The sequence below is a fragment of the Homo sapiens genome, chromosome 12, assembly GCF_000001405.40.
Source record: "Homo sapiens chromosome 12, GRCh38.p14 Primary Assembly".
Taxonomy (NCBI): domain Eukaryota; kingdom Metazoa; phylum Chordata; class Mammalia; order Primates; family Hominidae; genus Homo; species Homo sapiens.
Genome location: NC_000012.12, coordinates 56,490,068 through 56,516,249, shown reverse-complemented (window position 1 = coordinate 56,516,249; position 26,182 = coordinate 56,490,068). Strand labels below are relative to the sequence as shown.

The 26,182-nt window shown below is 45.4% G+C and overlaps 1 non-coding gene and 1 pseudogene across 1 annotated transcript; both read right to left on the bottom strand.

Annotated features, from left to right (window-relative positions):
* Window positions 3,065–5,309, bottom strand: HSPD1P4 (heat shock protein family D (Hsp60) member 1 pseudogene 4; annotated as a pseudogene).
* SNORA105C (small nucleolar RNA, H/ACA box 105C) lies at window positions 3,270–3,385 on the bottom strand. Its single transcript, NR_132789.1, has one exon. It is a non-coding gene; the product is annotated as a small nucleolar RNA, H/ACA box 105C (small nucleolar RNA).

Sequence of the window (26,182 nt, the reverse complement as noted above, 5' to 3'; positions counted from 1 at the left end):
TTCTATTTGCCCGTAAAATTAAAAATTCCAGTAAATATGTACTTTGGGGTCAGAAATAATAAAGGAATAATCCTAGGAATCCAGAAGTGAAAGATTCAACTATTTTCCTCAAGCCAGCCCCTTACCTCAAGTAGTAGTCATATTCAATATTCTGACTTATTCTTAACTTACACACTGGGTAATATTTCTAGGGATAAACTTACAACACAAACAGCAAGAGGTTTGTTGAAAACCACATTTGCTGAGAAGCACTCCTAATGAAGATTCTACCTGAGTTTTGATTCACTATATATTTAGAAGATAATTTGCTTAAAATCTGATTTCCAGATAATTAGGACCATATCCTAAAACTCTCAGGTGAAACATAAGATTTAAATGTAAGGGCTGGGCACAGTGGCTCACACCTGTAATCCCAGCACTTTGGGAGGCAGAGGCAGGCAGATCACTTGAGGTCAGAAGTTCAAGACCAGCCTGGCCAACATGGTGAAACCCTATCTCTACTAAAAATACAAAAAATTAGCCAGGCGTGGTGGTGTGGCCCTGTAGTCCCAGCTACTCGGGAGTCTGCTGCAGGAGAATCACTTGAACCCAGAGGCAGAGGTTGCAGTGAGCCGAGATTGCGCTACTGCACTCTAGCCTGGGCAACAGAGGGAGACTCTGTCTCAAAAAAAAGAGAGAGAGAGAGAGAGATTTGAATGTAAGAAATAATTGTTTTTCTATTTTTCCTGTTCATATGGTGCTGAAAAAGTAATTGTTAAAATATAAATATACATTAGTTATAAGGTCACTAGTCATGAGCAGCCTTTACCAGAAGCATAAGCTTGATGAGGACAGAGACCATGACTGTTTTGTACACCATTATATCCTTAGCATTCAGGAGGACCTGGCTAATTTAAAATGTTAAAATATTTGTTAAATGAATAAATGGACTGTCTCAGAACACAAAATTTACATTTGAAAAAAATGTTACTAATTAAAAATGGTAAGACTGGGCGCAGTGGCTCACACCTGTAATCCCAGCACTTTGGGAGGCTGAGGTGGGTGGATCATGAGGTCAGGATATCGAGACCATCCTGGCTAACACGGTGAAACCCCGTCTCTACTAAAAATACAAAAAAAATGAGCCGGGCGTGGTGGTGGGCACCTGTAGTCCCAGCTACTCGGGAGGCTGAGGCAGGAGAATAGTGGGAACCCAGAAGGCAGAGCTTGCAGTGAGCCAAGATCTCACCACTGCACTCCAGCCTGGGCAACAGAGCAAGACTCTGTCTCAAAGAAAAAAAAAAAAAGGTCAAAGTAGTGCTGGCAGTGATGGAATGGCACATTAGAACATCTAGGAGCTTTTCCTTTTATGTTTACAATATATTGTTTTCTTTTTTTCTTTTTGTTTTTTGAGACACGGTCCTCTAGGGATCCTCCTGCCTCAGCACCACCCCCCAACAAATAGCGAGGACTACAGGCACATGCCACCAGGCCTGGCTAATTTTTAAATTTGTTATAGAGACAGGGTTCTCAATATGTTGCCCAGGCTAGTCTCAAACTCATGGCCTTAAGGGAGATCCTCTTGCCTCAGCCTTCCAAAGTGCTGGGATTACAGGTATGAGCCACCATGCCTGGCCTGATTTTTTTTTTATTGCCTATTTTTGTGTCTTGGAAGTCAGAGAGCTTGAACTTACCTGTGTCTCCTAACAGTAGAGTAAGCCCACTCCCACCTGTGGACTAAAGTTAAACTGCCATTAAAGACATCACATCAAGAGCTCCATTACAAATTTGTATTCCTATAACACTTTGTTTGAAATTTTCATAGCCTATTTTCTTTTTTTGAGACAGAATATTGCTCTGTTGCCCAGGCTGGAGTGCAGCAGCACAATCTCGACTCATGCAGCCTCTGCCTCCCAGGTGCAAGCAATTCTCCTGCCTCAGCCTCCCCAGTAGCTGGGATTACAGGTGCATGCTACCATGCCCGGCTAATTTTTGTATTTTTAGTAGAGAGGGGGTTTTGCCATGTTGGCCAGGCTGGTCTCAAACTCCTGAGCTCAAGTAATCTGCCTGCCTCAGCCTCCCAAAGTGCTGGGATTACAGGTGTGAGCCATGACAGCCGGCCTTTTTAGGCTATTTTGGACTCTGCTTCACAGTTCCGCCTCCACCTCTTGCTCCTAGATTGTCAACTCCTAGAAGGCAGGCACCAACTTTACTAATCTTATTATCATTAACAGCTAAACATAATTTAACTCGAGATTATTCACTGAAAGAATACAATTTTCACTTTTTAAGTATTTCACCTTCAGTGGGAAAGTGAGCGCCCAATAAATAGAACAGTAAGAGAAACGCTGCCACCTCCTGGGTAAAACGGGTTGTGTCTCCTTTAGCAAATACTGGGAAAAGAAAGTATAGAATTTGTAGTGGGTAGATCAGAAGTTTGAAATTCAAACCCAGCTCTACTGCTTGCTGTGTTAGTATATGTGCTGACAAAGTGGGCACCCACTTGCTGTGTTAAACTGGAAAGTCACGTTCTTAAAACATCAGTTTCCTCTTCTACAAAACGGGCATATAAGTAGTATCTGTACACTTCTTAATATACTACTCTGTTCAATGGGCATCTAATAAGTATCAGTCCTGCTTATCTCTCAGGGATTATCAAGGCAGTCAAATCAGGTGACTATAAAGTACTTTGTTTAATATATAGTATTTTACTATATAAAAGTACTTTATTATATAGTATTTTACGAATATGAAATATATTTTTCACCTATACTTGATATTTACTACACCATGTTGAATATAACAAATCCATCTTATTTTTTACTATAAACTTGGGTTATGAACCTGCAGCTAGAGAGTCAAAGCAAACTTGTCAAATTTTAGATTGCTAAAGACAAACTTCTTTTTTTTTTTTTTTTTTTGAGATAGGGTCTTGCTCCGTTGCCCAGGCTGGAGTGAAGTGCCTTGATTATGCCTCGCTGCAGCCTTGACATTCTGGGCTCAACTGATCCTCCCACCCATGCCTCCTGAGTAGCTGGGACTACAGGCACATGCCACCATGCCTCACTAATTAAAAAAAATTTTTTTAACTTTAAACAAATTTTTATTACACAAAAGTTGTCACATAATTGGATATTTCTCTACTTTGTACACAATTATTCTCACTCTCCACAGAAAGGCTGCTTAACTTCTCATCTGGTGGTGGCAAGCACTAAAAATCCTGATTTTAACAGAATAGTAGTAAAAATGCCTCAGTGATTTAAGTTGAAAGCCATACATTGGTACATGGCTCTTTTACCCAGTATCAGGAATGTACAAATGTTTTTTATTCAAAAATACAAAATAAATTATCTATAGGCATGGACAATGACAGCAGTAAACCATTATATATTTTGTCAACTGAAACCAGTAACTGATGGTTATAGTGATTTTCAGCCAGCCTTTTTCTTCATTTTTCTCCAACTGACTTCTCTGAAGTTATTGGTGAGGAACACTGCCTTGGGCTTCCTGTCACAGTTCATTAATAAAGGTAAAGCACTAGTCTAGGAGTTAGAACATGCCACTTCCCATACCACCTCCCATTCTACCCATTGCACCCATTCCAGGGTCCTTCTCTTCTTTAGGAATTTCTGTGACTACAACTTCTGCTGTAGTTAACAGAGAGGTCACACCAGCGGCATCCAATAAAGCAGTTCTCACAACCTTTGTTGGGTCAATAATTCATTTTTCCACCATATTCACAAAATCTCCAACCATAGCATCATAACCAGCTTCTGAGGAAATTTGCGTAATTTTCTCAACTATCGAAGATCCTTCAACACCTGCATTCTTAGCAATGGTCATTGCTGGAATTTTGAGTGTTCTTTAATAATTTCTGTACCAATTTTTTGATCTTCATTAGCTGGAGTCAATGAGTCCAAGGCTAGAATGCATCGAAGCAGGGCACAACCCCCTCCCAATACAAAGCCTTCTTCAACAGCAGCTCTTGTAGCATTAAGGGCATCCGAACTCTGTCTTTCTTTTCATTCACTTCAACATCACTTGTCCCACCAACCTTCAGCACAGCTACTACATCTGAAAGTTTTGCCAGCCGTTCATTCAGTTTTTCCTTTTCATATTCACTAGTTGTGACATCTAACTGCTCAATGATTTCTTGAATACGTTTTTCAATTTGAGCCTTGTCACCTTTTTCTTTTAAGAGCGTGGCATCATCTTTGGTCACAATGACCTCTCCAACGTTTCCTAAGTCATGAGGCTGAACATCTTCAAGATTTAGGGTCAGCCCCTCTTCTCCAAACACTGCACCACCAGTAGCAATTGCCATATCTTTAAGCTGGTTCTTTCTATTGTCACCAAACCCTGGAGCCTTGATTGCCACATCCTGAAGACCAACCTTTAGCCTATTCAAGACGAGTGTACTTAGAGCTTCTCCATCAACGTCTTCAGCGATTATGACCAAAGGCTTACGGTGAGCATTGGCAATTTCAAGAGCAGGTACAACGGACTGGACACTAGAAATTTTCTTTTCGCTCAACAGAACATAGGCATCCTGGAATTCACATTTCTGACCTTTTGATGTATTAATAAAGTATGGAGAAATATAGCCTCGATCAAACTTTATGCCTTCAATAATTTCTAATTCATCATTCAGTGTTTTTCCATCCTTTACTGTGATGACACCCTTTCTTCCAACCTTTTTCATTGCATCAGAGATATTGCCAATTTCTTTGTCTCCGTTTGCAGAAATTGTAGCAACCTGTGCAATTTCTTCAGGGGTGGTCACAGGTTTAGACTGCTTTTTAAGTTCAGCAATTACAGCATCAACAACTAACATCACACCTCTCCTGATTTCCACTGGATTAGCACCTTTGCTAATCTTCTCGATGCCTTCCTTGGCTATAGAGCGTGCCAGTACAGTAGCAGTGGTAGGGCCATCCCCAGTCTCTTCATTTGTGTTATTGGCAACATCTTGAACAAGTTTAGCTCCAATGTTTTTATATTTATCCTTTAAGTCAATTGACTTTGCAACAGTCACACCATCTTTTGTTACTTTGGGACTTCCCCAGCTCTGCTCGATAATCACTGTTCTTCTTCCCTTTGGCCCCATTGTAAGGGCTACAGCATCGGCTAAAAGGTCTATACCTTGAAGCATTAAGGCTCGGGCATCTGCACCGAATTTTACATCTTTGGCATAAGCCCCAGTGAGATGAGGAGCCAGCACCCTGGACACCAGTCTCATCTGGCGAAAGACTGTGGGTAACCGAAGCATTTCTGCGGGGCGGCGGCAGGGCGTGCACGCAGCGAGACAGGTCGTCGGCGGCGAGTGAGGGCTAAAAATTTTTATAGAGATGGGGTCTCACTATGTTGCCCAGGCTGGTCTCAAACTTCTGCACCCAAGTGATTCTCCCGCCTTGGCCTTACAAAGTGCTGGGATTACAAACATGAGCCACCATGCTTGGCCTGCCTTCTTTAAATGTTAATGCAGGTTTGCTATCACCAACCTATTAAAATGTGATTTTGAACATAAAAATATGCTCACATTAAAACTACACGGAGTAGGCCGGGCGCGGTGGCTCACGCCTGTAATCCCAGCACTTTGGGAGGCCAAGGCGGGCGGATCACGAGGTCAGAAGATCGAGACCACCCTAGCTAACACGGTGAAACCCCGTCTCAACTAAAAAATACAAAAAAAATTAGCCGGGCGTGGTGGCGGACGCCTGTAGTCCCAGCTACTCGGGAGGCTGAGGCAGGAGAATGGCATGAACCCGGGAGGCGGAGCTTGCAGTGAGCGGAGATCGCGCCAGTGCACTCCGGCCTGGGTGACAGAGCGAGACTCCGTCTCAAAAACAAAAACAAAAACAAAACTACACGGAGATACCATTTCTCACCTGCCAGACTGGCAAAAATCCAGAAGCTCACAACAAACTGTTGGTGAGACTGTGGGTTAAAAGGTACTTTCAGCCTGGGGAATATAGCAACACCCCATCTCTAAAAAAAAAAAAAGAAAATGTTTTTAAATAAGCCAGGCACGGTGGCATATGCCTGTAGACCTAGCTACTCACAAGGGTGAGATGGGAGGATAGCTTGAGGCTGCAGTGAGCCAAGATCATACCCCTGCACTCCAGCATAAGCAACAGAGCGAAACCCTGTCTCTACAAACAAACAAACAAACAAAAAGGCGGGGAGGGCACTTTCATATATTGCTTGTGAAAAGACAAAATAAAATAACACCTTTCACACTATCTACCAAAATTATATGTGTATTTACCCTTCAACCCAACAGTCCCACTTGTAGGAATAGATCCGAAAGATACAATGGCAACAATAAAAAGAGACAGTACATATAAGGCATCTTCACAGCAGTAAGCAAGAAAGCTATCAAAGACTACTGGGGGTATGTCAAAAGGATTCAAGAATCAACTTTAGAAGCTGGGCATGGGGGCTCACACCTCTAATCCTAGCACTTTAGGAGGCTGAGGCAGGAGGTCTGCTTGAGCCCAGGAGTTCAAGACCAGCCTGGGAAACACAGTCTCTATTGAAAAAAGTCAAAAATTAAATGAATAATATTTAAAAAGAATCAACTTCAGTGGGTTGCTATTGTCCAAAGATGGTACAGTTTGAGCATCAAAAAAAATAACTACAAAGAATGTAAACACGCCAAATTTAATAAAATCCGTAAGTTCATAATAATTTTTCAAAACCCTAATTGATCATCTTTAAGAGGATATTACATACTCAACTTACTATTCCTAAAACTAGCAAATAAAGGAAAACAAGTTGAATATATAGCCTGCCTTTTCTATATGAATTGTTTCTCAGAATAACCAAGTAGTTGATGAAGAAAATCCTCCTTTATAGATGAATACAAAATAATAAAGAAATAAGGAATAGGCTGGGTGCAGTGGCTCACGCCTGTAATCCCAGCACTTTGGGAGGCCGAGGCGGGCAGATCACGAGGTCAGGAGTTCGAGACCAGCCTGGCCAACATGGTGAAACCCCGTCTCTACTAAAAATACAAAAAATCAGCCAGGTGTGGTGGCACGTGCCTGTAATCCCAGCTATTCGGGAGGCTGAGGCAGGAGACTTGCTTGAACCTGGGAGGTGGATGTTGCCGTGAGTGGAGATCCTGCCATTGCATTCCAGCCTGGGCGACAGAGCAAGACTCGGTCAAAAAAAAAAAAAAAAAAAAAAAAAAAAAAAAAAAAAAAGGTTTCTGAATTCAGTTTGCTAATAATTTGTTAAGGTTTTTTTTTTAACATCTATATTCATAAGAGATATTGGTATATAGTTTTCCTTTCTTGTGATACACAATCAATTTTTAATATAATGGTTTTAGCAGCCTTTGATAATTATTGCCTTGATCAACTGCTTTATTAAAGGTTGCAAAGTGGTGCTCTTTTGTTGTTCCTTATTTCTTTTTTTCTTTTTGTGATGGAATCTCGCTCTGTTGCCCAGGCTGGAGGGCAGTGGCGCAATCTCAGCTCACTGCAACCTCCGCCTCCCGGGTTCAAGCGTTTCTCCTGCCTCAGCCTCCCGAGTAGCTGGGATTACAGGTGCACGCCACAACGCCTGGCTGATTTTTTGTATTTTTAGTAGATACGGGGTTTCACCACTTTGGCCAGGCTGGTCTTGAACTCCTGACCTGGTGATCCGCCTGCCTCAGCCTCCCAAAGTGCAGGGATTACAGGCGTGAGCCACCACACCCGGTCCCAGAAACATATTTTTTTAAAAAGGTGGGCCAGGCATGGTGGCTCACGCCTGTAATCCCTGCACTTTGGGAGGCCGAGGCAGGTGGATGATTTGAGGTCAGGAGTTTGAGACCAGCCTGACCAACATGATGAAACCCTTTTTCTACTAAATAGAAAAAACATTAGCTGGGCATGGTGGGCATGCCTGTAATCTCAGCTACTTGGGAGGCTGAGGCATGAGAGTCGCTCAAACCCGGGAGGCGGAGGCTGCAGTGAGCTGAGGTTGCACCACTGCACTCCAGCCTGGGCAACAGAGTGAAACTCCATCTTGAAAGAAAGAAGAGAGAGAGAGAGAAGAAGAAAAGGAGGAGGAGAAGGAGGAGGAGGAGGAGGAGGAAGAGGAGGAGGAGGAGAAGAAGAAGGAAGAAGGAAGGAAGGAGAAGAGAAAAAGAAAACAAAAAAGCTTTAGGCAGCCAGGCACAGTGGCTCACACCTGAAATCCCAGCACTTTGGGAGGCCGAGGTGGGCAGATCACATGAAGTCAGGAGTCGAGACCAGCCTGGCTGACATGGTGAAACCCCATCTCTACTAAAAATACAAAAATTAGCCAGGCATGGTACCACCCATCTGTAATCCCAGCTACTGGGGAGGCTGAGGCATGAGAATCACTTGAACCTGGGAGGTGGAGGTTGCAGTGAGTTGAGATCGTGCCACTGCACTCTAGCCTAGGTGACAGAGTGAGACTCCATCTCAAAAAAAATAAAAGGTTTAGGCCAGGAGCGGTGGCTCACACCTGTAATCCCAAGATTTTGGGAGGACAAAGTGGGAGGATCACTTGAGCCCAGGAGTTTGAGACCAGGCTGGACAACATGGTGAGAACCTGTCTTTTAAAAGTAAAATAAGTTATAAAATAAAATAAAATACATAAAATAAAAAAGGTTTATACCCCATGACCAAGTGGGATTTATTCCAGGAATGCAAAGCTAATTAAATGTTCAAAAATTGGCCAGGCACAGTGGCTCACGCCTGTAATCCTAGCACTTTGGGAGGCCGAGGCGGGCAGATCATGAGGTCAGGAGATCAAGACCATCCTGGCTAACACGGTGAAACCCCGTCTCTACTAAAAATACAAAAATTAGCCAGGCGTGGTGGCAGGCGCCTGTAGTCCCAGCTACTTGGGAGGCTGAGGCAGGAGAATGGCATGAACCCGGGAGGTGGAGCTTGCAGTGAGCTGAGATCGCGCCACTGCACTCCAGCCTGGGCAACAGAGCAAGACTCTGTCTCAAAAAAAAAAAAAAAAATCAAGTAACACAATATGCCATGTTAAAACAGAACAACCAGCTGGGCACAGTGGCTCACGCCTGTAATCCCAGTATTTTGGGAGGCGGAGATGGGCGAGATGGCTTGAGCCCAGGAGTTCAAGACAAGCCTGGGCAACATGGTGAGACCCTGTCTCTACAAAAAATACAAAAATTAGCTGGCATTCAAGCAACTCCTGGACTCAGTATCTTTTTTATGGCTGGGCACAGTGACTCATGCCTGTAATCCCAGCACTTTGGGAGGCCAAGGCGGGTGGATCACGAGATCAGGAGTTCAAGACCAGCCTGGCCAAGATGGTGAAACCCCGTCTCTACTAAATATACAAAAAAATTAGCCAGGCGTGGTGGTGGGCACCTGTAATTTCAGCTACTCAGGAGGCTGAAGCAGTGAATTTCTTGAACTTGGGAGGCAGAGGTTGCAGTAAGCAGAGATCACACCATTGCACTCCTGCCTGGGCGACAGAGTCAGACTCCATCTCAAAAAAAAAAAGATCTTTTTTATATCTTTTTTATTAATCCTTTTAACGTTTAAAAACATCTTATTGGACAACAAGGCCTCCAATAAAATATATAACAGAAGCTGTGATACCAAGCCTGTTCCTGATAAACTCTATCAGGTTTTAGACATTCCTTTTCTTCTTTTCTTTCTTTTTTTTTTTTGAGATGGAGTCTTACTCGGTCGCCAGGCTGGAGTACAGTGGCATGATCTCGGCTCACTGCAACCTCCACCTCCCAGATTCAAGCGATTCTCCTGCTCAGCCTCCCGAGTAGCTGGGACTACAGGCACGTGCCACCACGCCCAGCTAATTTTTGTATTTTTAGTAGAGACGGAGTTTCACCATGTTGGCCAGGATGGTCTCGATCTCTTGACCTCATGATCCACCTGCCTCAGCCTCCCAAAGTGCTGAGATTACAGGTGTGAGTCACTGTGCCCAGCACTTCTTTTCTTTTTGAGACAGAGTTTCCCTCTGTCACCCAGGCTGGAGTGCAGTGGCCACAACCTCGGCTTACTGCAACCTCTGCCTGCCGGGCTCAAGCAATTCTCATGCCTCAGTGTCCTGAGTAGCTAGGATTACAGGTATGCGCCAACGTGCCCAGCTAATTTTTATATTTTTAGTAGAGATGGGGTTTCTCCACGTTGGCCAGCTGGTCTCCAAGTCCTGTCCTCAAGTGATCTGCTGGTCTTGGCCTCCAAAAGTGCTTGGATTATAGGCATATGCCATGATGCCTGGTCTAGACATTCCTTTTCTTGTCTCATTTGCTAAGAGCTTTGAAAATATTTGCTTGAAAGACATTTATCAAATAATTTTTCTACAATGACTTGAGAGGATCATATAGATTTTTCTCTCTTAATCTGTTGATGTGGTGCGACTACATGTTTTCTAATATTACACCATTCTAGCATCTTTGGGATAAACACGACTTTGCCACGTGTGTGTGTTCAATTTTCTAATATTTTATGACTTTTGCATTTATTTCTTTATATAAAATTGGTCTATATCTTACTTTTCTTATACTGTCCTTGTCTAGTTCTGGGTTTAAAGTTTACAATAGCTTCACAAAACAAGTTGTGAAGTGTTCCTTCTCTTTTTATTTCTTGGAAAATCTGTTCTTTGAAGACTGAAGTCTTCAAAGTACTGCCACATAAAAGTACTTCAATAGTACTTCGCATAAAATCTGTATATATTTTTTTCTATGTCAGTATTTAAAGTACAAAATCTCTAATCTCATCAAAATCTCAGTATTTCCCAGCATTCCTACAACACTCTAGAGTTAGTGCCCTCTCCTAGTCTTTACTATAGCTGTTCTAAACATTTACCACTCTAAGTTTTCTACCTCATTATTTCACTCTGCATTCTTAGCATATCATATTTATCTGCTATCTTCAACCTTGATATCTCTACTGGCTTTCCTCCTCCACATGTGGATACATGATGACCTTTTAAAAAGACAAGATAGGGCCAGAAGTGGTGGCTCACCCCTGTAATCCCAGCACTTTGGGAGGCTGAGGTGGGTGGATCATGAAGTCAGGAGTTCGAGACCAGCCTGGCCAGTATGGTGAAATCCCATCTCTACTAAAAATACAAAAATTAGCCGGGCGTGGTGGTGCTCGCCTGTAGTTCCAGCTACTCAAGAGGCTGAGGCAGAAGAATCGCTTGAACCCGGGAGGTGGAGGTTGCAGTGAGCCGAGATGGTGCTACTGCACTCTGGAGCAACAGAGCGAGACTCCGTCTCAAAAAAAAAAATTAAAATTAAAAGAGAGATGAAAACATACATAAAAAACAAATAAACAAAAGCCCTTCCCTGTACCCTATGTTCTTCTGTAGATATTCTTAGTTTTCCCCATAATCAAGAGTAATCTACATTTGCTAACTGTATGTCCTCATCTCTCATTTGTTTTTCTCCACTCACTTTTAATTGTATTCCAAGTTATGTTAGAGTTGGGAAATTACTACTGGGTTATATTTATTTTTTATTTTATTTTATTTTATTTTTTTTGAGACAGAGTCTCGCTCTGTCGCCCAGGCTGGAGTGCAGTGGCGCCATCTAGGCTCACTGCAAGCTCCGCCTCCCAGGTTCATGCCATTCTCCTGCCTCAGCCTCCCGAGTAGCTGGGACTACAGGCGCCCGCCACCACGGCCGGCTAATTTTTTGTATTTTTAGTAGAAACGGGGTTTCACCGTGTTAGCCAGGATGGTCTTGATCTCCTCACCTCGTGATCCGCCCATCTCGGCCTCCCAAAGTGCTGGGATTACAGGTGTGAGCCACCGCGCCTGGCCACTGGGTTATATTTAAAAAGCAACATAATCAGATTTGCATTTCTGCAAGACCACTTGTGGCTATACTGTAACGAATGGAAGGGAGTAAAACTGATGGGAGACCTAAATTAAGAAGCCTCACTAAGATAGTAGCAATGGGAATGAGAAGTGGATGGATTTGAGTCCCATTATCGGATGTAAAGGATATGGAAGCAGGAGAAATAAAGGATCACATGTGAACCTCTAGCTGAACAATGGATTTTTTTGTCATTGTAGAGATGGTAAGTCTCCAGCCTGAGCAACGTGGCAAAACGCTGTCTCTAAAAAAAATACAAAAAATTAGCTGGGCGTGGTGGTGTACACCTGTACTCCCAGCTACCCAGGAGTCTGAGGTGGAAAGATCACCTAACCCCTTGGAGGTCGAGGCTGCAGTAAGCCATGATGGCGCCACTGCACTCCAGCCTGGGTGGCAGAGTGAGACCCGGTCTCAAAAAAAGAAAAAAAAAAGAAGAAAAGAAAAAAGAAAGCTGACCTGACCACATAAAGAGAAAACATTTCTACATGGCAAACAAATCCACAAATGGAAAACCAAAGTCAAATGATAAACTAGCAGGGAGGGGAGAATGTATGCAACTCATTTCATAAAGAGCTAATTTCCAAAAAGTTCCAGCCGGGCGCAGTGGCTCACGCCTGTAATCCCAGCACTTTGGGAGGCCAAGGCGGGTGGATCACGAGGTGAGGAGATCGAGATCATCCTGGCTAACACGGTGAAACCCCGTCTCTACTAAAAATACAAAAAAAAAAAAAAAAATAGTCGGGCGTGGTGGTGGGCGCCTGGAGTCCCAGCTACTCGGGAGGCTGAGGCAGGAGAATGGCGTGAACCCGGGAGGCGGAGCTTGCAGTGAGCCGAGATCGTACCACTGCACTCCAGCCTGGGCGACAGAGTGAGACTCCGTCTAAAAAAAAAAAAAAAAAAGAAAAAGAAAAAGAAAAGTTCCTAAAAACACATATTAAAAGCCTAATATCTGGCCAGGCACAGTGGCTCACACCTGTAATCCCAGCGCTTTGAGAGACTGAGGCAGGAGGATCACTTGACGCTAGAAATTTGAAAAACCAGCCTGGACAACACAGCAAGATCCCCTCTCCACACACACACACACACACAAAATACAAAAATTAGCTGGGTGTGGTGGCATTCACCTGCAGTCTTAACTACCTAGGAGGTTGAGGCAGGAAGATCAATTGAGTCTAGGAGTTTGAGATTACAGTGAGCTATGATCTCACCATTGCACTCTAGCCTGGGTGACAGAGCAAGACCCTGTCTCTTAAAAATATATATAATAATAATAATAATAAAACTTAAAAATTTTAATATCCAACAGATAAATGGACAAAACATAGGAATAAACACTTCATAAAAAAGGAAACACCAATGGTTCTTAAATATATAAAAGATGTTCAACCTCATTCATAATTTTTAAAAAGTGAAATAAAAACAATACTGAGATAAGTCGGGCGCGGTGGCTCATGCCTGTAATCCCAGCATTTTGGAAGGCGGGTGGATCACTTGAGGTCAGGAGTTCGAAACCAGCCTGACCAACATAGAGAAACCCCATCTCCACTAAAAATACAAAATTAGCCAGGCGTGGTGGCGCTTGCCTGAAATCCCAGCTACTCAGGAGGCCGAGGCAGGAGAACTGCTTGAACCCGGGAGGCGGAGGTTGCAGTGAGGCGAGATCTCGCCACTGCACTCCAGCCTGGGCAACAAGAGCGAAACTCCATCTCAAAAAAAAATAAATAAATAAAAATAAAAATACAATACTGAAATAGCATATTACACCTACTGGCATGGCAAGCACACAAAAAAAGTGATAACCGGCCAGCCACGGTGGCTCACGCCTGTAATCCCAGCACTTTGGGAGGCCGAGGCAGGCGGAGCACCTGAGGTCAGGAGTTCGAGACCAGCCTGGTCAACATGGCGAAACCCCATCTCTACTAAAAATACAAAAAAAAAGTTAGCCGGGTGTGGTGATACATACCTGTAATCTCAGCTACTTGGGAGGCTGAGGCAGGAGAATAACTTGAACCCGGGAAATAGAGGTTGCAGTGAGCTAAGATCGTGTCACTGCACTCCAGCCTGGGCAACAGAGAGAGACTCCATCTCAAAAAAAAAAAAAGTGATAACCAACTGAAGTGAGGGAGGAAAAACAGGCACTCTACTACATTGCTGGTAAAACTGAAAAATGGCATGACCAGTATGGACGGCAATTTGTCAACATCTTTAAAAATTACAAATATATATACTCTTTGACACATCAATTATACTTTTAGAAATTTATCCTACAGTTATATTTGCAAACTTGCAAAATGACAAGATATACAAGCTTATTTACTGCAGCACTGTCTGTAATAACTAAGGTAACCATAAAACATATATTACCCAAATTGGAATACTGTTGGAACAGAAAGAGGACAGTATTCATATACAAGCTGGGGCTGGGTGTGGTGGCTCAAGCCTGTGATTCCAGTACTTTGGGAAGCTGAGGTGGGTGGATCACTTGAGGTCAGGAGTTCGAGACCAGCCTGGTCAACATGGTGAAACTCTGTCCCCACTAAAAATACAAAAGTTAACCGGGTGTGGTGGCTCATGCCTATAGTCCCAGCTACTCAGGAGGCTGAGGCAGGAGAATTGCTTGAACTCAGGAGGTAGAGGTTGCAAGAAGACAAGATGGTGCCACTGCACTCCAGCCTGGGCAACAGAGCAAGACACCATCTCAAATTGTGGACAGCAAGCCACCCAGGCACCGAGGCAAGAGACAGAGGACACGAGCTGTTCCAGTATAATAGAATATAAAACAAGAATAGTTATACCAGATATAGATCTTAGATATGATTGTATATGAATATCATTAATCATTAGTTTGTAGCAATTTTTATTCCAATATTATGATAATCCTCGCTCTATAATCATAGCCTAGGAAAAACCACGCCATACAGAGATAGGAGCTGAGGGGACATAGTGAGGTGTGACCAGAAGACAAGAGTGCGAGCCTTCTGTTATGCCCGGACAGGGCCACCAGAGGGCTCCTTGGTCTAGCGGTGACGCCAGCGTCTGGGAAGACGCCCGTTATCAGGAGGATCGTGGTCCAGCGGTAGCAAAAGGTGTCAAGGAACAACACCCGCTACTTAGCAGACCGGGAAAGGGCGGGGCGGGGGGGGGGGTCTCCCTTTCCCCAGGGGAGTTTAGAGAAGACTCTGCTCCTCCACCTCTTGTGGAGGGCCTGACATCAGTCAGGCTTGCCCGAAGTTATCGGGAGGCCTAACCGTCTCCCTGTGATGCTGTGCTTCAGTAGTCGCACTCCTAGTCTGCCTTCATGTTCCATCCTGTACACCTGGCTCTGCCTTCCAGATAGCAGTAGTAAATTAGTGAAAATACTAATAGTCCCTGATATGCAGAAATAATGATGTAAGCTGTCTCTCTCTCTGTCTCCTCTCCCTCTCTGCCTCAGCTGCCAGGCAGGGAAGGGCCCCCTGTCCAGTGGACACGTGACCCACGTGACCTTACCTATCATTGGAGGTGACTCACATTCTTTACCCTGCCCCTTCTGCCTTGTATCCAATAAATAACAGCGCAGCCAGACATTCGGGGCCACTACCGGTGTCTGCGCATTGGTGGTAGTGGTCCCCCGGGCCCAGCTGCCTTTTCTCTTGTCTCTTTGTCTTGTGTCTTTATTTCTACACTCTCTCATCGCCGCACACAGGGAGAGACCTACCGACCCTGTGGGGCTGGTCCCTACATCTGGCGCTCCGACGTGGGGCTCTCCCTCGCTGTGTGAAGTTGCGCCCTGAGTGCGGGATCAGCGGAGGAGTTCAACGAGAGATTCCTGAGGATTGCAGTCAATAAACTTGGTGGTAAGCTTGAGCACTCAGAGTTTTCCGGGGACACCATGGGACAGGCCAGTACAAAGTATTCGGCTTATTTAAATTTTATAAAAACTCTTCTTAAAGAAGGAGGTGTTAAAGTTTCTACTGAAAAGTTAATTGAACTATTTGAGGTTGTAGATCTTCTTTGCCCTTGGTTTCCGACTCAGGGAACTCCAGAACTTAAAGATTGGGATGAGATTGGCAAACAATTCAAAATTGCTCATAAAGGGGGACATTTTATCCCACCCACCATTTGGTCAATCTGGGCTTCGGTTCGCTCTGTCTTAGACTCCTTATAGACTCAGGAGGACAATATGGAGACTGATCCCTCTTTCCTCTCCTCTGAGGAGGTCGAGGAAGCTCTCAGCTCTCTTTCCCCTGATGATACTGCACAAATTGAGAACGTAATTTCAAAGGAGGACTTCCACTCTGACATGCCTGCGCCACCGCCACCTACGCCAGAGGCCACTGCACCCCCATTGCCGCTTTATGATGATCTTTTAACTGACCTAAATGTACTTATCTCCCCAATCAGCAAAACTCAGCTGAAACATATCAACAGCCATTGCGGCCAGACCCTCCTGTCTCTCCTCACTCTTTCAACACTGCCGCCGTGCAAATAGCAGATGAGACCAGGCAGCCTGTAAACGAGTCTATAAATTACGTTTCTATGCAGCCCGGTACAGAGGCTCCGCTATATGAACAGCTTGGAAAAGAGGCTTCCAATTCTCGGCCCGGTAATGAGGCCCTCAATCCTATTTCTTCTAATCGGACTCAGAGTCACAGGCTCCCTTGAAGCCTGGTCCCTTTCCTATAAATCAGACTCGGGTAGAGTCACAGGCTCCCTTGAAGCCTGGTTCCTTTCCTATAAGTCAGACTCGGGTAGAGTCACAGGCTCCCTTGAAGCCTGGTCCATTCTCTGCAAATCGGACTCAGAGTCACAGGCTCCCTTGAAGCCTGGTTCCTTTCCTGCAAATCGGACTCAGTTACAGTCACAGGCTCCCTTGAAGCCTGGTTCCTTTCCTATAAATCAGACTCGGGTAGAGTCACAGGCTCCCTTGAAGCCTGGTTCCTTTCCTATAAATCAGACTCGGGTAGAGTCACAGGCTCCCTTGAAGCCTGGTTCCCTTCCCACAAATCGGACTCAGTTAGAGTCACAGGCTCCCTTGAAGCCTGGTTCCTTTCCTATAAATCAGACTTGGGTAGAGTCACAGGCTCCCTTGAAGCCTGGTTCTTTTCCTCCTAATCGGACTCAGTTAGAGTCACAGGCTCCCTTAAAGCCTGGATCCTTTCCTACAAATCAGACTCAGTTAGAGTCACAGGCTCCCTTGAAGCCTGGTCCCTTTTCTACAAATCAGACTCGGGTAGAGTCACAGGCTCCCTTGAAGCCTGGATCCTTTCCTACAAATTGGACTCAGTTAGAGTCACAGGCTCCCTTGAAGCCTGGTTCACACTTGCCGTGGCAGCCTGGTTTTCAGGCCCATGAAAGACCTGCTCAGCAGGTAATCTGCTCTCACCCTGGCTTTCAGTTTTTCGACTCTCCTTCTATTCAAAATTCTACCTCTTTTTCTGCTCCTGGTCTGGTCGCAACTGCTGTTGCCAATACTACCATTGCCGCTCATAAGCAACAAATTACATACATCCCTGAAGATGACACTCTGCTTACGAGGGCTATAGTTCAGGCAAGGGAATATGGGGATCCCGAAGCTTGGCAATTTCCTGTAATTTTACAACCCCCAGTACCTGCCACCCCAGCAGTACAAAACCACCCACAGCCTGTTGTTGATCCTGCCCAGCAGGCGGCTGACCCCACAGCTCAACAAGATCAAGAGGCTGACAATTAAGCCCCTCAGCCTGAGAATCGGCTGCTTGGGTAAATAATCAGGCTCTGCAATTGCCTGCTCCTGGGGCACAGCCAATACCTGGCATTCCCGCTGTTCAGGCGGTAATTCAGCCTGACACCATCCATCCAGGCCAGGTTCAGCTACGCCCTGCTACATAGGAAAGTTTTTCTTTTAAATTCCTCAAAGATTTTAAGGAATCAGTGAAACAATATGGCACCAACTCTCCTTTTGTCCATTCCACATTAAAAGCCTTAGCAGAAGATAAACGTTTGGTACCCTATGATTGGGAAATTTTGGCAAAATCAGTCTTATCTAAATCCCAATATTTACAATTCAGGACTTGGTGGGTTGATGCTGTCCAGGAACGCATTCGTCTTAATCAGGGCTCTAATCCTCTTGTTAACGTTACGGCTGACCAGTTACTGGGAATGGGTCAATGGGCTGCAATCCGACACCAAACTATACTAAATGATGAGGTTATTGAACAACTGCGAAAATGTTGCTTAGATGCTTGGGACAAAATTCAAGATGATGGTAAAGTATGCCCATCTTTCACAGCCGTCAGACAGGGACAACATGAGCCCTACCCAGACTTTATTGCTCATCTTCAAGACGCAGCAGAAAAGGCTATTCCTGATAGCCACGGCCAAAGACTTGTTGTAGAACTTATGGCTTATGAACAAGCAAATCCAGATTGTCAGGCGGCTATTCGCCCCGTCAAAGGTAAAATTCCACCAGGTGGTGATATACTCACCTCCTACATTAAAGCCTGTGAAGGGGTGGGAGGAACTCTCCATACAGCAATGATTATGGCACAAGCTATGGCCTCTATTCGAATGCCTGGACAATTCTCTGGCCAATGCTTCATATGCGGCCAGAATGGACATGCAAAAAGAAATTGCCCTCGGCGTGCAGGTCGCCATCCTTTACATCACCAACAACAACAACAAAAAACTTTTCAGCAACAAGATGCCCCACCTTCTACTGTATGCCCACGATGCCAAAAGGGTCTTCACTGGGCATCTCAATGCCATTTCAGATTTGATATTGATGGCCATCCTTTACGGCCTTTTAAAAATCAGGGAAACAGGATGAGGGGCCGGCCCCAGGCCCCTCTAAACAATGGGGCATTCGTCAACTCTCAGCCCCGATGTAGGGACCAGCCCCACAGGGTCGGTAGGTCTCTCCCTGTGTGCAGCGATGAGAGAGTGTAGAAATAAAGACACAAGACAAAGAGACAAGAGAAAAGGCAGCTGGGCCCGGGGGACCACTACCACCAATGCGCGGACACCGGTAGTGGCCCCGAATGTCTGGCTGCGCTGTTATTTATTGGATACAAGGCAGAAGGGGCAGGGTAAAGAATGTGAGTCACCTCCAATGATAGGTAAGGTCACGTGGGTCACGTGTCCACTGGACAGGGGGCCCTTCCCTGCCTGGCAGCTGAGGCAGAGAGGGAGAGGAAGCAGAGAGAGAGACAGCTTACATCATTATTTCTGCATATCAGGGACTATTAGTATTTTCACTAATTTACTACTGCTATCTGGAAGGCAGAGCCAGGTGTACAGGATGGAACATGAAGGCAGACTAGGAGTGCGACTAGTGAAGCACAGCATCACAGGGAGACGGTTAGGCCTCCCGATAACTTCGGGCAAGCCTGACTGATGTCAGGCCCTCCACAAGAGGTGGAGGAGCAGAGTCTTCTCTAAACTCCCCTGGGGAAAGGGAGACCTCCCCCCCCCCCGCTTCCCGGTCTGCTAAGTAGCGGGTGTTGTTCCTTGACACCTTTGCTACCGCTGGACCACGATCCCCCTGATAACGGGCGTCTTCCCAGACGCTGGCGTCACCGCTAGACGAAGGAGCCCTCTGGTGGCCCTGTCCGGGCATAACAGAAGGCTCGCACTCTTGTCTTCTGGTCACACCTCACTATGTCCCCTCAGCTCCTATCTCTGTATGGCGTGGTTTTTCCTAGGCTATGATTATAGAGCGAGGATTATCATAATATTGGAATAAAAAGTAATTGCTACAAACTAATGATTAATGATATTCATATATAATCATATCTAAGATCTATATCTGGTATAACTATTCTTGTTTTATATTTTATTATACTGGAACAGCTCGTGTCCTCTGTCTCTTGCCTCGGTGCCTGGGTGGCTTGCCGCCCACATCAAATAAATAAATAAATAAATAAGCTGGGACAAGTGGCATGAGCTTAGAATGTCCCAGGCAAACAAGGAAATACGGTCATTCTAGCAATAATGACAAATATTCACCAATAGGGAATTTGTTAAATAATTATAATACATCCAGACAATAGAATACTATGAAGGAATAAAAGGAAGCACATTATGTACTGATTTGGAAAGTTCTCCAAGATGTATAATAAAAATTGTTAAAGGCAAAATACAAAACAGTGCTTATAGCATGCTGCCATTTATGCGAAGTAAGAATAAATATAACTGCTTAGATACGGATAACATACATCTGGAAGGATATATTGAAAACCAATGACACTGTTTGCCTCCAGGGAGGGAAGCTGGATAGCTGGGAAACAGAAGCAGGATAGCGACTTCATTACATGCCCTTTTGAATTCTGAACCAGCTGAATAAATAAAATTATAAAATAAAATGGCTCCAATAATGAGTTGACTACTTGAAAATTTTGATGACGTATTTTTCCCCTGCTTGTGCTTCTATATTAAATAATAATAATTCTGTTAAAGATTGTGATTCTATAGAGTTCTTTAAGCAGTTTTTTTTTTTTTTTTTTTTTTTAGATAGAGTCTCACTCTGTCGCCCAGCTGGAGTGCAGTGGCGTGATCTTGGCTCACTGCAACCTCTGCCCCCCGGGTTCAAGCAATTCTCCTGCCTCAACCTCCCGAGTAGCTGGGATTACAGGTGTGCGGCACCACGTCTGGCTAATTTTTTGTATTTTTAGAAGAGACGGGGTTTCACCATGTTTGCCATACTGGTCTCGAACTCCTGACCTCAGGTAATCCGCCCACCTCAGCCTCCCAAAGTGCTGGGGTTACAGGCGTGAGCCACTGCGTCCGGCCTAATTCTGCTATAAACATAAGAATATGTTTCATACTGTTCCAGGCAAGCCAGGAAATATGGTGATTCTAGCAATAATAAAAAATGGAGGCCAGGCTCCGTGGCCTCATGCCTGTAATCCCAGCACTTTGGAAGGCTGAGGCGGGTGGATCACCTGAGGTTGGGAGTTCAAGGCCGGCCTGACCAACATGGAGAAAACTCATATCTACTAAAAATACCAAAAATTAGCCAGGCATATTGGTGGGCGCCTGTAATCCCAGCTACTCAGGAGGTTGAGGCAGGAGAGTTGCTGGAACCCAGGAGGCGGACGTTGTGGTGAGCCAAGGTGGCACCATTGCACTCCAGCCTGGGCAACAAGAGTAAAACTCCATCTCAAAAAAAAAAACAACAAAAAAAAGGAAAGTAACACAAATATTCACCAGTAAGGGACTTGTTTAATAATAATTTAAAAACAAAACTAAGATGATATTTCAGAGAAATTTGAAATCAAGTACCAGTACTGTTAATAACTATCACAGAAATTTTATATGTAGTATAAAGTGATCTGCCCGCCTCGGCCTCCCGAGGTGCTGGGATTGCAGACGGAGTCTCGCTCACTCAATGCTCAATGTTGCCCAGGCTGGAGTGCAGTGGCATGATCCCAGCTCGCTACAACCTCCACCTCCCAGCCGCCTGCCTTGGCCTCCCAAAGTACTAAGATTACAGCCTCTGCCCAGCCACCACCCCATCTAGGAAGTGAGGAGTGCCTCTGCCCGGCCGCCCATCGTCTGGGAAGTGAGGAGCGCCTCTGCCTGGCCGCCCCGTCTGGGAGGAAGTGAGGAGTGCCTCTGCCCGGCCACCCTGTCTGGGAAGTGAGGAGCACCTCTGCCCTGCCGCCCCATCTGGGAGGTGAGGAGCGCCTCTGCCCGGCCACCCATTGTCTGGGAGGTGAGGAGCGCCTCTGCCCGGCTGCCCCGTCTGGGATGTGAGGAGCACCTCTGCCCGGCCGCCACCCTGTCTGGGAAGTGGGGATGGCCTCTGCCCGGCCGCCCCGTCTGGGATGTGAGGAGCGCCTCTGCCCAGCCGCCGCCCCCTCTGGGAGCCGCCCCGTCTGGGAAGTGAGGAGCGTCTCTGCCCGGCCTCCCCGTCTGGGAAGTGGGAAGCGCCTCTGCCCGGCCGCCCCGTCTGGGAAGTGGGGAGCGCCTCTGCCCGGCCACCTCGTCTGGGAAGTGGGGAGCGCCTCTGCCCAGCTGCCACCCCCTCTGGGAGCCGCCCCATCTGGGAAGTGAGCATCTCTGCCCAGCCGCCCCGTCTGGGAAGTGGGGAGCGCCTCTGCCCGGCTGCCCCGTCTGGGAAGTGGGGAGTGCCTCTGCCTGGCCATCGTCTGGGATGTGAGGAGCGCCTCTGCCCAGCTGCCACCCCCTCTGGGAGCCGCCCCATCTGGGAAGTGAGCATCTCTGCCCAGCCGCCCCGTCTGGGAAGTGGGGAGCGCCTCTGCCCAGCTGCCCCGTCTGGGAAGTGGGGAGTGCCTCTGCCCAGCCGCCACCCCCTCTGGGAGCCGCCCCATCTGGGAAGTGAGCGTCTCTGCCCAGCTGCCCCGTCTGGGAAGTGGGGAGTGCCTCTGCCCGGCCGCCCTGTCTGGGAAGTGGGGAGCGCCTCTGCCCGGCCGCCCCGTCTGGGAAGTGAGGAGCATCTCTGCCTGGTCGCCCCATCTGGGAAGTGAGGAGCACCTCTGCCCAGCCGCCACCCTGTCTAGGAATTGAGGAGCGCCTCTGCCCGGCTGCCCCATCTGGGAAGTGAGGAGCACCTCTGCCTGGCCACCCGCTCTGGGAAGTGAGGAGCGCCTCTGCCCGGCCGCCCCCTCTGGGAAGTGAGGAGCGCCTCTGCCCGGCCGCCCCCTCTGGGAAGTGAGGAGCACCTCTGCCCAGCCACCCCGTCTGGGAAGTGGGGAGCGACTCTGCCCAGCCGCCCCGTCTGGGAGGTGTACCCAACAGCTCTGAAGAGACAGCGACCATCGAGAACGGGCCATGATGACGATGGCGGTTTTGTCGAAAAGAAAAGGGAGAAATGTGGGGAAAAGAAAGATCAGATTGTTACTGTGTCTGTAGAAAGAAGTAGACATAGGAGACTCCATTTTGTTCTGTACTAAGAAAAATTCTTCTGCCTTGGGATGCTGTTAATCTATAACCTTACCCGAACCCCGTGCTCTCTGAAACATGTGCTGTGTCAACTCAGGGTTAAATGGATTAAGGGCGGTGCAAGATGTGCTTTGTTAAACAGATGCTTGAAGGCAGCATGCACATTAAGAGTCATCACCACTCCCTAATCTCAAGTACCCAGGGACACAAACACTGTGGAAGGCTGCAGGGACCTCTGCCTAGGAAAACCAGAGACCTTTGTTCACATGTTTATCTGCTGACCTTCTCTCCACTATTATCCTATGACCCTGCCACATCCCCTTCTCCGAGAAACACCCAAGAATGATCAATAAATACTTAAAAAAAAAAAAAAAAAGAAAATTCATACAGTTAAAAAAAAAAAAAAACTTTCCTGAAAATCAGAAAACTAGAATGACAGTTTTTTTGCAAACTGACAGGTCAAAGTAGGTGATGTAAAAAATTTCAAATTATATACAATCTTAATAAAATATGGCTTATGGAGCATTTCACTTAGGTAAATGTGGTTAAAAGTTAATTTAACCTAGTCTTTTAGAGAAGGGTCTCATTTGTTCACTACAGAGTAATACAAGATTCTGACATCTTTCATAGTCTTTAAGTCAAAGAAAAACAAGTATTAAAATACTATTTCTCTAGCAATAACTTGGAGAAGGGAAAAAAGAAAAAAGAAAATGCTATCAAGCAAACCCCGAAGGTATTTTCTTCTTGCTGTGTTGGCAAAGGCTTTCAAATTCCTTCAAATTAGCTTTCGCCTACAGACTTTTCTAAATCCTTTTTAGGAATTCTAGCAAAATCTACATTATTTTAGTATATTTTGTTGATTAAGACTTGCTAGAATCTACTTTAATAGCTATTGGAGAACCCAGATTATACAAGATATTATTTGGAAAAATAGAGAAAATGCATGTTAGGCATCGTAAATGGACCAGTGTGATGATATGTTTTTTAATAGGCTTATATTTATATTTTTTCAGTCCTATAAATGTTCATTTTGTTATTGCTAAACCAAAGAAGAATTAGGAAAGCACACTGGAGTAGATCACAGACACGCTTAAACTTTTATTAAATTTCATTTACTCCATGAAAGTCTAGCATCAAGTTAAAACATGCATCCCATACCTACATCCTCAGTTTCATTGGTCCCCATTCTTTTTTTTTTTTTTTTTTTTTTTTTTGAGATGGAGTCTCGCTGTCACCCAGGCTGGAGTGCAGTGGCGCGATCTTGGCTCACTGCAACCTCTGCCTCCCAGGTTCAACTGATTCTCCTGCCTCAGCCTCCTGAGTAGCTGAGATTACAGGTGCATGCCACCACGCCTGGCTAATTTTTGTATTTTCAGTAGAGATGGGGTTTCACCGTGTTGGTCAGGCTGGTCTCGAACTCCTGACCTTGTGATCTGCCCACCTCAGTCTCCCAAAGTGCTGGGATTACAGGCATAAGCCACCACGCCCGGCTGGTCCACATTCTTATACCCACGTTTCATTCCAACCAAACTAGAGGTAGAGTCCCTCAAATGTTCCTCTCAGGCTATGTTTATTCTTGTAGAGCCCTCTGTCTGAAACACCTCTCGTGCTTTAAAAACCAGCTCCTGTCAGTCACCATTCCTCTTCTATCCCAGTGGCCCTTCACCCCCAGCTTAGTTAGATGTCCCCTTTATACTTTCTTCTGCATGTCTCTACATCACAGCATTTTTCATTAGGAATTTTAAACATAAGCTTTCTCATTTCTCCCAGTAGAAACTGGTTTATTAAATTTTTAAATTTCTGGATTTTCCAGCACTGGACCTGGCACACTGAATGCCAACAAATAAATATTAATTGAGTGAATGGAAGCTCATTATGTCAGAGCCCCAAGTACTTACATTTTACCCAGTAAAATACAAGTTTATCTTTTACAAATGGAGAAACTAAGGCAGAAAGGAGTTTGTAACAATAGTATCATTAACAAAGATTAATAAAAAAATGAACTAATCTTTTACTTGGACCAATTAACATCCTAGCTACAGTCTAAAGAGTAGAACAGGCCAGGTGCGGTGGCTCACACCTGCAATCCTAGCACTTTGAGAGGCTGAGGCGGGCAAATCAAGGGGTCAGGAGTTCGAGACCAGCCTGGCCAACATAGTGAAACTCCGTCACTACTAAAAATACGAAAATTAGCCGAGCATATTGGCGGGTGCCTGTAATCCCAGCTATTCGGAAGGCTGAGGCAGGAGAATTGCTTGAACCCGGGAGGCGGATGTTGCAGTGAGCCAAGATCACACCATTGCACTCCAGCATGGACGACAGAGCGAGACTCCATCACACACACACACACACACACACACACACACACACACAAAATAGAGTAGAACAAATGAGTCTCTAAATCATAAGAAATAAACAAACTCCAAACATCAATTTCCTATCACAGAGGATTAGCTTTTCCTTCTTTCTTTCTTTTCTTTTTTTTTTTTTGTTTGAGACGGAGTTTTGCTCTTGTTGCCCGGGCTGGAGTGCAATGGCGTGATCTCAGCTCACCGCAACCTCCGCCTCCCAGATTCAAGCAATTCTCCTGCCTCAGCCTCCTGAGCAGCTGGGATTACAGGCATGAGCCACCGCGCCCGGCCCGGATTTAGCTTTTATTAAGGATTCAAAATCATTAAGTCTAATCCTCTCTCACATACCACAAAACTCTGGCACAGCCATGGACTAACCTAAAAGCCCACTGTTAGAGACACAAAGAACTTTCTTTCAGTTATGAAAATCTTCATTTCTAGCTGCCCTTGTCATAGTTGGCTAATAGTTTTGCACAAATTAAACTAGATGATGAGTATTTTTCAAATTAGAAACAAAAAGAGGACCTGACCCTGCCAAGCTTTAACCACCTGGGACAACAAACTTGTTCTTCTCCAGCATCTTATACTTTACACAGTACCATTGGCCTCCCAAGTCACCAGTTCATGCTCCATCCTCATGCAAAGACAGCAATATTGTATTGGAGACAGTTAGTCCAAAGGTCCAAGTGCAGCTGGAGCTAGTTCTCTAAGCAAAGAACCTCTGCTTCCATGCATAGATCTTCTTCACTACCCAACCAGTTCCTATTAGTGGAAGAGTGCTGGGAGAAAGAGAGTAAGGAACTCATTAGAGTATAAAGCTAATTCAAAGAGGCAGAAATAGGAAAAAAAGGAAGCAAATTACTTCTGGGTAATGTTTAGAAATTCCCTAACAGATGGTATTTTTCTCTTGAATAGATCAAAACGTTTCAGATAAATCATATTTCTATGAAACAAGGATAAGATTCGTCTGTTACGTATGAAAAAAACTAATGCAGGATTGAGTTTACGTTAAGTATTGAGACCCAGAACTCTGCCTCTTGGGCAAAGCCAAGCATAAAGCAGCAAGCCCTCCCAGAATTAGACGGCTTTCCACGGACAGGAGAACAGATACAGCAGACACAGAATGACTACAGAAGGCGAAAACAAG